This window comes from Homo sapiens, chromosome X (assembly GCF_000001405.40).
Source record: "Homo sapiens chromosome X, GRCh38.p14 Primary Assembly".
NCBI lineage: Eukaryota > Metazoa > Chordata > Mammalia > Primates > Hominidae > Homo > Homo sapiens.
In genome coordinates this window covers 76,772,075-76,785,299 of record NC_000023.11, presented here as the reverse complement: position 1 = coordinate 76,785,299, position 13,225 = coordinate 76,772,075, and the positions used below count along the sequence as shown (strand labels likewise).

General features: G+C 38.1%; 1 long non-coding RNA gene across 7 annotated transcripts in view; it reads left to right on the top strand.

Moving 5' to 3' along the window:
• Positions 1-13,225, top strand: part of MIR325HG (MIR325 host gene) — a 356,735-nt gene that overhangs the window by 229,233 nt on the left and 114,277 nt on the right. Inside the window, exon 2 of one of the 7 annotated variants that reach the window (NR_110405.2) lies at positions 4,008-4,117. The exons of the other annotated variants lie outside the window; for them this stretch is intronic. This is a non-coding gene — a long non-coding RNA (MIR325 host gene). The remainder of the gene's footprint in view (positions 1-4,007; positions 4,118-13,225) is intronic. 7 annotated transcript variants of the gene reach the window in all.

Below are 13,225 nucleotides of genomic sequence, written 5' to 3'. Positions count from 1 at the left end.
ACTGACTTCCACAATGGTTGAACAAGTTTACAGTCCCACCAACAGTGTAAAAGTGTTCCTACTTCTCCACATTCTCTCCAGCACCTGTTGTTTCCTGACTTTTTAATGATTGCCATTCTAACTGGTGTGAGATGGTATCTCGTGGTGGGTTTGATTTGCATTTCTCTGATGACCAGTGATGGTGAGCATTTTTTCATGTGTTTTTTGGCTGCATAAATGTCTTCTTTTGAGAAGTGTCTGTTCATGTCCTTCACCCACTTTTTGAGGGGGTTGTTTGATTTTTTCTTGTAAATTTGTTTGAGTTCATTGTAGATTCTGGATATTAGCCCTTTGTCAGATGTGTAGGTTGCAAAAATTTTGTCCCATTTTGTAGGTTACCTGTTCACTCTGATGGTAGTTTCTTTTCCTGTGCAGAAGCTCTTTAGTTTAATTAGGTCCCATTTGTCAATTTTGGCTTCTGTTGCCATTGCTTTTGGTGGTTTAGACATGAAGTCCTTGCCCATGTCTATGTCCTGAATGGTAATGCCTAGGTTTTCTTCTAGGGTTTTTATGGTTTTAGGTCTAACGTTTAAGTCTTTAATCCATCTTGAATTAATTTTTGTATAAGGTGTAAGGAAGGGATCCAGTTTCAGCTTTCTACATCTGGCTAGCCAGTTTTCCCAGCACCATTTATTAAATAGGAAATCCTTTCCCCATTGCTTGTTTTTCTCAGATTTGTCAAAGATCAGATAGTTGTAGATATGTGGCATTATTTCTGAGGGCTCTGTTCAGTTCCATTGATCTATGTCTCTGTTTTAGTAGCAGTACCATGCTGTTTTGGTACTAAATTCTGTAGCCTTGTAGTATAGTTTGAAGTCAGGTAGCGTGATGCCTCCATCTTTGTTCTTTTGGCTTAGGATTGACTTGGTGATGTGGGCTCTTTTTTGGTTCCATATCAACTTTAAAGTACTTTTTTCCAATTCTGTGAAGAAAGTCATTGCTAGCTTGATTGGGATGGCATTGAATCTATAAATTACCTTGGGCAGTATGGCCATTTTCACAATATTGATTCTTCCTACCCATGAGCATGGAATGTTCTTCCGTTTCTTTGTATCCTCTTTTATTTCATTGAGCAGTGGTTTGTAGTTCTCCTTGATGAGGTCCTTCATGTGCCTTGTAAGTTGGATTCCTAGGTATTTTATTCTCTTTGAAGCAATTGTGAATGGGATTTTGGAACTGGTTCCATTCCTTCTGAAACTATTCCAATCAATAGAAAAAGAGGGAATCCTCCCTAACTCATTTTATAAGGCCAGCATCATCCTGATACCAAAGCTGGGCAGAGACACAACCAAAAAAGAAAATTTTAGACCAATATCCTTGATGAACATTGATGCAAAAATACTCAATAAAATACTGGCAAACCGAATCCAGAAGCACATCAAAAAGCTTATCCACCATGATCAAGTGGGCTTCATCCCTGGGATGCAGTGCTGGTTCAATATATGCAAATCAGTAAATATAATCCAGCATATAAACAGAACCAAATACAAAAACCACATGATTATCTCAATAGATGTAGAAAAGGCCTTTGACAAAATTCAACAACGCTTCATGCTAAAAACTCTCAATAAATTAGGTATTGATGGGATGTATCTCAAACTAATAAGAGCTGTCTATGACAAACCCACAGCCAATATCATACTGAATGCGCAAAAACTGGAAGCATTCCCTTTGAATACTGGCACAAGACAGGGATGCCCTCTCTCACCACTCCTATTCAACATAATGTTGGAAGTTCTGGCCAGGGCAATTAGGCAGGAGAAGGAAATAAAGGGTATTCAATTAGGAAAAGAGGAAGTCAAATTGTCCCTGTTTGCAGATGACATGATTGTATATCTAGAAAACCCCATTCTCTCAGCCCAAAATCTCCTTAAGCTGATAAGCAACTTCAGCAAAGTCTCAGGATACAAAATCAATGTGCAAAAATCACAAGCATTCTTATACACCAATAACAGAAAAACAGAGAGCCAAATCATGAGTGAACTCCCTCTTCTGCATTTTCAACTTTGTTAATTATTTGGTTCAAGAGGCCTAGCTTTCAACCTATCTTGAGTTTCAACATGCCTTCCTCAGTAAGCTTAATCCTTTTTAGCTTTTGATTTTAAATACAAGTTGTGTGACTCTTCCTTTCACTGGAACTCTTGGAGACCATTGTAAGGTTATTACTTGGCCTAATTTAAATATTGTGTCTCAAGGTCTCCAGGAATATGGGGTTCTTAGGACAAGGAGAAAAATGGGAAACAGCTTCTTGGTGGAGCAGTCAGAACACACACAACATTCATTAAGCTCACAATCCCCTGTGGTTTGTGGCACCCCCAAGCAATTACAATAGTAACATCAAATATCACTAATCACAAATCACCATAGCAGATATATTAGTGAAAATGTTTAAAATGTTGTGAGAATTACCAAAATGTGACATGAAGATATGATGTGATCACATGCTCTTGGAAAAATTGTGCTGGAAGACTTGCTTGATACAAGGTTGCCACAAATCTTCAATTTTAAAAAACAAAATATCTGAAAAGGACAATAAAGTAAATGAAATAAAATAAGGCATTCTTTTGCTACTATAAGAAGTTCATATTGGGAGAAAATAGGTGCTGAACATATGGAAACTCTGTGTTATCTTCACTTTTTTTGTAAATCAAACTGTTCTAAAAATAAAGTTTATTAAAAATGTCACAGGGTTGGGTGCGGTGGCTCACACCTGTAATCCCACCACTTTGAGAGGTCAAGGTGGGCAGATCGCTTGAGTTCAAGAGTTTGAGACCAGCCTAGCCAACATGGCGAATCCCCATCACTACTAAAAATCCAAAAATTAGCCGGGTGTGGTGGTGCACTCTGTAGTTCCAGTGACTCGGGAGGCTGAGGCAGGAGAATCACTTGAACCCAGGATGCAGAGGTTGCAGTGAGCCAAGATTGTGCCACTGCACTTCAGCCTGGGTGACAGAACCAGACTCCATCTCAAAAGAAACAAACAAACAAAAAATGTCATGGGAAGCCATTTGTGTATTTTAAGTAGGTATGGGATAATGAAAGTGATGTGATTATGTTTACGCTTTGAGAAGATCACTCTGGCTGTTGGAGTCAAGACCTGTAGAGCAGTGTGGAAATAAGTAAAGACCAATGGCATGAGAACAAGAAAAGTCTATTTATTCAGAATTTGCTATAGAAAGGGAGTCAACTATCATCACTTGCATTTTGGCAGACACTCAAAGGCAGGCAGAGAAGTGTAAAAGTTTTATAGTGAAAAAATGGAAGGCTTCAAATATGTCCTTGTTAGAGGCTGTTGGCATGGAGAAGCTGTAGGCAGGTTAACTGGAAGTGGAGCATCGTAGGTGATTGGCTAGAGATGCATATTTGACTTTCTCTTTTTGGTCTTAAGTTGAAAGCAGGCCCTAAATTTAAAACTTCTCCAAGATTAGGGAGGCTATAAGTTATCAATCATTCCCAGGCCATTTGGGAACAATTATTCCAGGGGTTATTATTTGGCTTTCTGGGCCACTTAGGAGAAATGGTAGCCAGACTTTCTACAAGTTTGACATAGATAGTTGGCTTCCTGTGTTGGTCACTGTAGAAAATGGACTGGTTTCCTAGGCACGTTGCTGCAGGTTGTGAATCAGAGTTCTAACTTTATATATGGTCTGGTCATGTTTTGTTAGTATGTTTAGTCTCTCTGCAGTACAAATGAAATCTATGGATGCTTAGAGTCTACACAAGGCTGCAAAAAAGAGGAGCTAGTGAAAAAAAATGAGTGATATCTAAAACTGTAAGTTGAATGTGACTCTACTTTGACCTTTAAAAAGATACTTGACCTGCAGTGTTATAACAAAAGTGTTGAAGTAGGTGACTTTATCTATTGGGTTCTCTTGCCTTTTTGATGTTCTGGCATTTGTGTTGGTTCATACTCTTTTGGGGATCTCCTTATGTCAAGCATCTTATTTTATATGTACCATCCTCCCTAGCTTCTGCTGATCCTGCTTTTTGGAATTAAGAATTCCCAAACAGGTTGCTTCCAAGACGGCTGAATAGGAACAGCTCCAGTCTACAACTCCCAGTGAGATCGATGCAGAAGGTGGGTGATTTCTGCATTTCCAACTGAGGTACCTACTTCATTTCATTGAGACTGGTTGGACAGTGGGTGCAGCCCATAGAGGGTGAGCAGAAGCAGGGTGGGGTGTCACCCCACCTGGGATGTGCAAGGGGTGGGGAGATTTCCCTTTTTTAGTCAAGGTAAGCTGTGAGTGACTGTACCTGGAGGATCAGTACACTGCTGCCCAAATGCTGGTCTTTTCCCACAGTCTTCACAACCAGCAGACCAGGAGAGTCTCTCCTGTGCCTGGCTCTGTGGGTCCCACACCCATGGAGCCTTGCTTGCTGCTAGTGCAGTAGTCTGAGATTGACCTGGAATGCTGAAGCTTGGTGAGGGAAGGGACATCTATCATTGATGAAGCTTGAGTAGGCAGTTCTATGCTTACAGTGTAAACAAAGTGGCAGGGAAACTAGAACTGGGCAGAGACCACCACAGCTCAGCAAGGCCTACTGCCTCCCTAGATTCCACCTCTGGGGGCAGGGCATATCTGAACAAAAGACAGCAGACAGCTTCTGCAGACTTAAACGTCCCTGCCTGACAGCTCTGAAGAGAGCAGTGGTTCTCCCAGAAGAGTGTTTGAGATCCAATAAGGGACAGACTGCCTCCTCAAGTGGGTCCCTGACCCACGTATAGTCTGACTGGGAGACACCTCCCAGTAGGGGCTGACTGACACCTCATAAAGGCGAGTGCCCCTCTGAGATGAAGCTTCCAGAGGAAGGGTCAGGCAGAAATATTTGCTATTCTGCAGCCTGCGCTGGTGATACCCAGGCAAACGGTCTGGAGTGGACCTCTGGCAAACTCCAACAGACCTGCAGCTGAGGAGCCGGTATGTTAGAAGAAAACCTAACAAACAGAAAGGGATAGTGTTAACATCAACAAAAATGACATCCGCACCAAAACCCCATCTATAGGTCACCAACATCAAAGACCAAAGATAGATAAAATCACAAAGATGGGGAGAAACCAGAGCAGAAAGGCTGAAAATTCCAGAAACAAGAATGCCTCTTCCCCTCCAAAGGAACACAACTCCTCACCAGCAAGGGAACAAAACTGGATGGAGAATGAGTTTGACAGGTTGACAGAGGTAGACTTCAGAAGGTTGGTGATAACAAACTTCTCCAAGCTAAAGGAGCATGTTCTAACCCATAGCAAGGAAGCTAAAAACCTTGAAGAAAGGTTAGACGAATGGCTAACTAGAATAACTGTATAGAGAAGACCTTAAATGACCCGATAGAGCTGAAAACCACAGTACAAGAAATTCATGAATCATACACAAGCTTCAATAGCTGACTTGATCAAGCAGAAGAAAGGATATCAGTGATTGAAGATCAAATTAATGAAATAAAGTGAGAAGACAAGATTAGAGGAAAAAGAGTGAAAAGAAACAAACAAAGCCTCCAAGAAATATGGAACTATATGAAAAGACCAAATCTATGTTTGATTGGTGCACCTGAAAGTGACAGGGAGAATGGAACCAAGTTGGAAAACACTCTGCAGGATATTATATAGGAGAAATTCCCCAACCTAGCAAGGCAGGCCAACATTGAAATTCAGAGGAAATACAGAGAACACCACAAAGATACTCCTCGAGATTATCAACCCAAGACACATATTTGTCAGATTCACCAAGGTTGGAATGAAGGATAAAATGTTAAGAACAGCCAGAGGGAAAGGTCTGGCTACCCACAAAGGGAAGCCCATCAGACTAATAGCAGATGTCTCAGCAGAAACCCTACAAGCCAGAAGAGAGTAGGGGCCAATATTCAACATTCCTAAAGAAAAGAATTTTCAACCCAGAATTTCATATTCAGCCAAACTAAGCTTCATAAGTGAAGGAGAAATAAAATTCTTTACAGACAAGCAAATGCTGAGAGATTTTGTCACCAATAGGCCTGTCTTACAAGAATTCCTGAAGGAAGCACTAAACATGGAAAGGAACAACCAGTACCAGCCACGGCAAAAACATGCCAAATTGTAAAGACCATCCATGCTATGAAGAAACTGCATCAATTAGTGGGTGAAATAACCAGCTAGCAACATAATGACAGAATCAAATTCACACATAACAATATTAACCTTAAATGTAAATGGGCTAAATGCCCCAATTAAAAGACACAGAGTGGCAAATTGGATAATGAGCCAAGACCCATCGGTGTACTGTATCCAGGAGACCCATCTCACATGCAAAGACACACATAGGCTCAAAATAAAGGGATAGAAGCAGGTCTACCAAACAATTGGAAAGCAAAAAAAAAAAAAAAAAAAAAAATAACAAGAGTTTCAATCCTGGTCTCTGATAAAACAGACTTTAAACCAACAAAGATTAAAAAAAGACAAAGAAGGGCAATACATAATGATAAAGGGATCAATTCAACAAGAAGAGATAACTATCCTAAATATATATGCACTCAATACAGAAGCACCCAGATTAACAGAGCTAGTTCTTAGAGACCCACGAAGAGACTTAGACTCCCACACAATAATAATGGGAGACTTTAACACCCCACTGTCCATATTAGACAGATCAATGAGACAGAAAATTAACAAAGATATCCAGGAATTGAACTCAGCTCTGGACCAAGCAGGCCTAATAGACATCTACAGAGCTATCCACCCCAAATCAACAGAATATACATTCTTCTCGGCACCACATTGAACTTATTCTAAAGCTGACCACACAAATGGAAGTAAAACACTCCTCAGAAAATGTAAAAGATCAGAAATAACAAAAACTGTCTCTCAGGCTACAGAGCAATCAAATTAGAACTCAGAATTAAGAAACTCACTGAAAACCGTACAACTACATGGAAACTGAATAACCTCCTCCTGAATGACTACTGAGTAAGTAACAAAATGAACGCAGAAATAAAGATGTTCTTTGAAACCAATGAGAACAAACATACAACGTACAAGAATCCCTGGGATACATTTAAAGCAGTGTGTAGAGGGAAATCTATAGCACTAAATGGCCACAAGAGAAAGCAGGAAAGATCTAAAATCAACACCCTAATGTCACAATTTCAAGAACTAGAGAAGCAAGAACAAACACTTCAAAAGCTAGGAGAAAACAAGAAATAACTAAGACCAGAGAAGAACTGAAGGACATAGAGAAACAAAAAACCCTTCAAAAAATCAATGAATCCAGAAACTGTTTTTTTCGAAAGATCAACAAAGTAAATAGACCACTACCCAGATTAATAAAGAAGAAAAGAGAGAAGAATCAAATAGACTCAATAAAGAATGATAAAGGGGATATCACCACCGATCTCAGAGAAATACAAACTACCATCAGAGAATACTATAAACAACTCTACGCAAATAAATTAGAAAATCTAGAAGAAATGGATAGACTCCTGGACACATACACCCTCCCAAGACTAAACCAGGAAGAAGTTGAATCTCTGAATAGACCAATAACAGGTTCTGAAATTGAGGCAATAATTAATAGCTTACCAACCAAAAAAAGTCCAGGAGCAGACAGATTCACAGCTTAATTGTACCAGAGGTACACAGAGGAACTGGTACCATTTCTTCTGAAGCTATTTCCTTTTTTTTTTTATACTTTCAGTTTTAGGGTACATGTGCACAACGTGCAGGTTAGTTACATATGTATACATGTGCCATGTTGGTGTGCTGCATCCATTAACTCGTCATTTAACATTAGGTATATCTCCTAATGCTATCCCTCCCCCCTCCCCCCACCCCACAACAGGCCCCAGTGTGTGATGTTCCCCTTCCTGTGTCCATGTGTTCTCATTGTTCAATTCCCACCTATGAGTGAGAACATGCGGTGTTTGGTTTTTTGTCCTTGCAATAGTTTGCTTAGAATGATGGTTTCCAGCTTCAATAGAAGCTTCAATAGAAACAGGAGTCCTCCCTAACTCATTGTATTAGGCCAGCATCATCCTGGTACCAAATCCTGGCAGAGACACATAAAAAAAAGAGAATTTTAGGCCAATATGCACATGAAGATTGATGTAAAAATCCTCAATAAAATACTGTCAAACTGTATCCAGAAGCACATCAAAAACCTCATCCAACACAAACGAGTCGGCTTCATCCCTAGGATGCAAGGCTGGTTCAACATATGCAAATCAATAAATGTAATCTGTCACATAAACAGAACCAACGAAAAAATCATATGATTATCTCATTAGATGCAGAAAAGGTCTTCGACAAAATTCACAGCTTTTCATGCTAAATACTCTCAATGAACTAGGTATTGATGGAACATATCTCAAAATAATAACAACTACTTAGAGCAAACCCACAGCCAATATCATACTAAATAGGCAAAAATTGGAAGCATTCCCTTTGAAAACTGGCACAAGACAGGGATGCCGTCTCTCACCACTGCTGTTCAACGTAGCATTGGCCAGGGCAATGAGGCAAGAGAAAGCAATAAAGCATATTCAAACAGGAAAAGAGGAAGTCAAATTGTCTCTGTTTGCAGGTGACATGATTGTATATTTAGAAAACCCCATCATCTCAGCCCAAAATCTCCTTAAGCTGATAAGCAACTTCAGCAAAATCTCATGATACAAGATCAATGTGCAAAAATCACAATCATTCCTATACACCAAGAACAGACAAACGGACAGCCACACGATGAGTGAACTCTCATTCCTAATTGCTCCTAAGAGAATAAAATACCTAGGAATCCAACTTACAAGGGATGTGAAGGACCTCTTTAAGGAGAACTACAAATCACTGCTCAATGAAATAAAAGAGGACAGAAGCAAATGGAAGAACATTCCATGCTCATGGGTAGGAAGAATCAATATCGTGAAAATGGCCATACTGCCCAAGGTAATTTATAGATTCAATGCTATCCCCATCAAGCTACCAATGACTTTCTTCAGAAAACCAGAAAAAACTACTTTAAATTTCATATGAAACCAGAAAGGAGCCCGCATAGCCAAGACAATCCTAAGCAAAAAGAACAAAGCTGGAGGCATTACACTACCAGACTTCAAACTATACTGCAAGATTACAGTCACCAAAACAGCATGATACTGGTACCAAAACAGAGATATAGACCAATGAAACAGAACAGAGGCCTCAGAAATAACATCACACATCTACAACCATCTGATCTTTGACAAACCTAACAAAAACAAGCAATGGAGAAAGGATTTGCTATTTAATAAATGGTGCTGGGATAACTGGCTAGCCATATGTAGAAAGCTGAAACTGGATCCCTTCCTTACACCTTACACAAAAATTAACTCAAGATGAATTAAAGACTTAAATGTAAGACCTAGAACCTTAAAAACCCTAGAAGAAAACCTAGGCAATACCATTCAGGACATAGGCATGGGCAAAGACTTCATGACTAAAACATCAAAAGCAATAGCAACAAAAGCCAAAATAGACAAGTGGGATCTAATTAAACTAAAGAGCTTCTGCACAGCAAAAGAAACTACCAACAGAGTGAACAGGCAACCTACAGAATGGGAGAAAATTTTTGCAATCTATCCATCTGACAAAGGGCTAATAGAACTTAAACAAATTTACAAGAAAAAAAACAAAAAACCCCATCAAAAAGTGGGCAAAGGATATGAACAGACACTTCTCAAAAGAAGACATTTATGCAGCCAACAGACATATGAAAAAATGCTCATCATCACTGGTCAACAGAAAAATGCAAATCAAAACCACAATGAGATACCATCTCACACCAGTTAGAATGGCGATCATTAGAAAGTCAGGAAACATCAGATAATGGAGACGATGTGGAGAAACAGAAATGCTTTTATGCTGTTTTTGGAGTGTAAATTAGTTCAACCATTGTGGAAGACAGTGTGGCAATTCCTCACGGATCTAGAACTAGAAATACCATTTGACCTAGCAATCCCATTGTTTGATGTATACCCAAAGGAATATAAATCATGCTAGTATAAAGACACTTGCACATGTATGTTTACTGCGGCACTATTCACAATAGCAAAGACTTGGAACCCACCCAAATGTCCATCAATACTAGACTGGATAAAGAAAATGTGGCACATATACACCATGGAATACTATGCAACCATAAAAAAGGATGAGTTCATGTCCTTTGCAGGTACATGGATGAAGCTGGAAACCATCATTCTCAGCAAACTATCACAAGGACAAAAAACCAAACACCTCATGTTGTCACTCATACGTGGGAATTGAACAATGAGAACACATGTACACAGAGAGGGGAACATCACACACTGGGGCCTGTTGGACAGTGGAGGGCTGGGGGAGGGAGAGCGTTAGGAGAAATAGCTAATGTAAATGATGAGTTGATGGGTGCAGCAAACCAACATGGCATATGTATACCTATGTAAAAAACCTGCATGCTCTGCACATGCACCCTAGAACTTAAGGTATAATAATAATAATAAGAAGAAGAATTCCCAAACACCCCATGTCCCTATTGTACTGTTGGTCATTTTATACTTTCTAGTTCAGGAGACAGAATTGTCAGGGTTATCAACTGGTCAAAAAAACTTATGATGAGCTTATAAAAGAAGGCTAGAGGTTTCGTTTATCTAGCTACAGTTGCATTTTTATTTATTTTATAGATTTATTTATTTAGTTTTCATGTCTCCTGAATATCTTTTATTTCTTTATTTTATTTTGTTTTTATAGATTAGGGGGTATTATTGCAGTTTTGTTACATGGATATATTGCATAGTGATGAAGTTTGGGCTTTTAGTGTAATCATCACCTTAATAGTGTATATTTTATCCATTAGTAATTTCTCTTCTCTCAAAATTCTTCCACCCTCCCATCTCTCAGAGTCTCCAATGTATATTATTCCACTCTCTGTGTCCATATGTATACATTATTTAGCTCCCACTTATAAGTGAGAACGTCTGGTATTTGACTATCTGTTTCTGAATTATTTCACTTAATATAATGGCCTGCAGTTCCAAGTTCCACCCATGTTGCTTCAAATGACATGATTTTATTCTTTTTTATGGCTGAATTGTATTCCGTGTGTGCGTGTGTGTGTGTGTGTGTGTGTGTGACATTTTCTTTATCCAATCATCTGTTGATGGCGGACACTTACGATGATTCCATATCTTTGCTTTTGTGAATAGTGCTATTATAAACAGGTATCTTTTTGATATAATGATTTCCTTTCTTTTGGGTAGATATCCAGTAGTAAGATTTCTGGGTTGAGTGGTAGTTTTATTTTTAGTTCTTTAAGAAATTAATTTGGCTTTATGAGAAATTATACTTTTTCCATGGGGACTCTACTAATAAACATTCCAAGCAGCAGTGTATAATTATTCACTTTTCTTTACATTTTTGCCAACATCTTTTTTTTTTTGACATTTAATAGTAGCCATTGTTACTGGTATAAGATGATATTTCATTGTGGTCTTAATTTGCTTTTTCTGATGATTAGTTATGTCAAACTTTTTTTTAACATGCTTGTTGACCATTTGTACATCTTCTTGTGAAAAATGTCTACTAATGTCTTTTGACCACTTTTTAATGGGGTTATTTGCTTTTATCTCTTCAGTTGTTTGTGTCTGGATCTTACTCCTTTGTCAAATGCATAGTTTGCAAATACTTTCTCCCATTTTGTATGCTGTCTGTTCTCTCTGTATCTTTTGCCATGCAGAAGCTTTTTAGTTTCATTGAATCCCATTAGCCTACTTTTGTTTTTGTTGCATTTGCTTTTGAGGTCTTAGTTATAAACTCTTTGCCAAGGCTAATGTCGAGAGAACTTTTTCCAAAGCTTTCTTTAAATAAAGTTTTTATAATTACAGGTATTATAATTTAAGTATTTAATCCATCTTGAGTTAATTTTTATACATGGTGAGACATAGGAGCTTAGTGTCATTCTTCTGCATATGGCTATCCAATTTTCACAGCACTATTTATTGAATAGGGTGTCCTTGCCACAGTGTATGTTTTATTGTCAACTTTATAAAAATCAGTTGGTTGCAGGTATGTGGCTTAATGTCTGGGTTCTCTCTTCTGTTTTATTTATCTCATGTGTCTATTTTTATTTCAGTACCATGTTGTTTTGGTTCCTATAATCTTGTGGTATAATTTGAAGTAAGGTAATATGATGCTTCCAGTTGTGCTATTTGTGCTTAGGATGGCTATTTGGACTCTTTTATTTTCTGGTTATGTTTTTATTTTTGGATTATTTTTCTAACTGTGTAAAATAATAATATATTGATAAGCACTGCATTGTCTGTAGATCGCTTTGTGCCATGTATTCATTTTAATGATATTGATTCTTCCAACCCATGAGCTTGGGAAATTTCACCATTTATCTTTGTCTTCTACAGTTTATTTACCAACCTTCAGAAGGTTGGTAATAACAAACTTCTCCTAGCTAAAGGAGCATGTTCTAACCCATAGCAAGGAAGCTAAAAACCTTGAAAAAAGGTTAGATGAATGGCTAACTAGAATAACTGTATAGAGAAGACCTTAAATGACCTGATAGAGCTGAAAACCACAGTACGAGAAATTCATGAATCATACACAAGCTTCAATAGCCGATTCGATCAAGCAGAAGAAAGGATATCCGTGATTGAAGATCAAATTAATGAAATAAAGTGAGAAGACAAGATTAGAGAAAAAACAGTGAAAAGAAACAAACAAAGCCTTGTAGAGAGGCTTCATCACATTGGTTAAATGTATTTCTAGCTATTTTATATTTATGTAGTTATTGTAAATGGGATTGAGTTTTTGATTTGGTACTCAGCTTCTCCTAATTGGTGAATAGAAATGCTACTGATTTTTGTACATTGATATTGTACTCTCAAACTTTATTGAAGTACATAGATATTGTATTCTCAAACTTTATTGAAGTCATTTATTAAACTAGGAATCTTTTGGCAGAACCTTTAGAGTTTTCTAGGTGAAAGATCATATAATCAGCAAACAAAGATAATTTGACTGTCTCTTTCCAAATTTGGATTTTTTTTTCTTTCTTTTGCCTGATTGCTCTGGCTAGAACTTCCATACTATGTTGAATAGGAGTGGTGAAAGTGGGCATTCTTGTCTTGTTTCAGTTTTTAGGGGAAATATTTCAACTTTCCCCATTTGGTATGATGTTGACTGTGGATTTGCCATGTATGGCTTTCT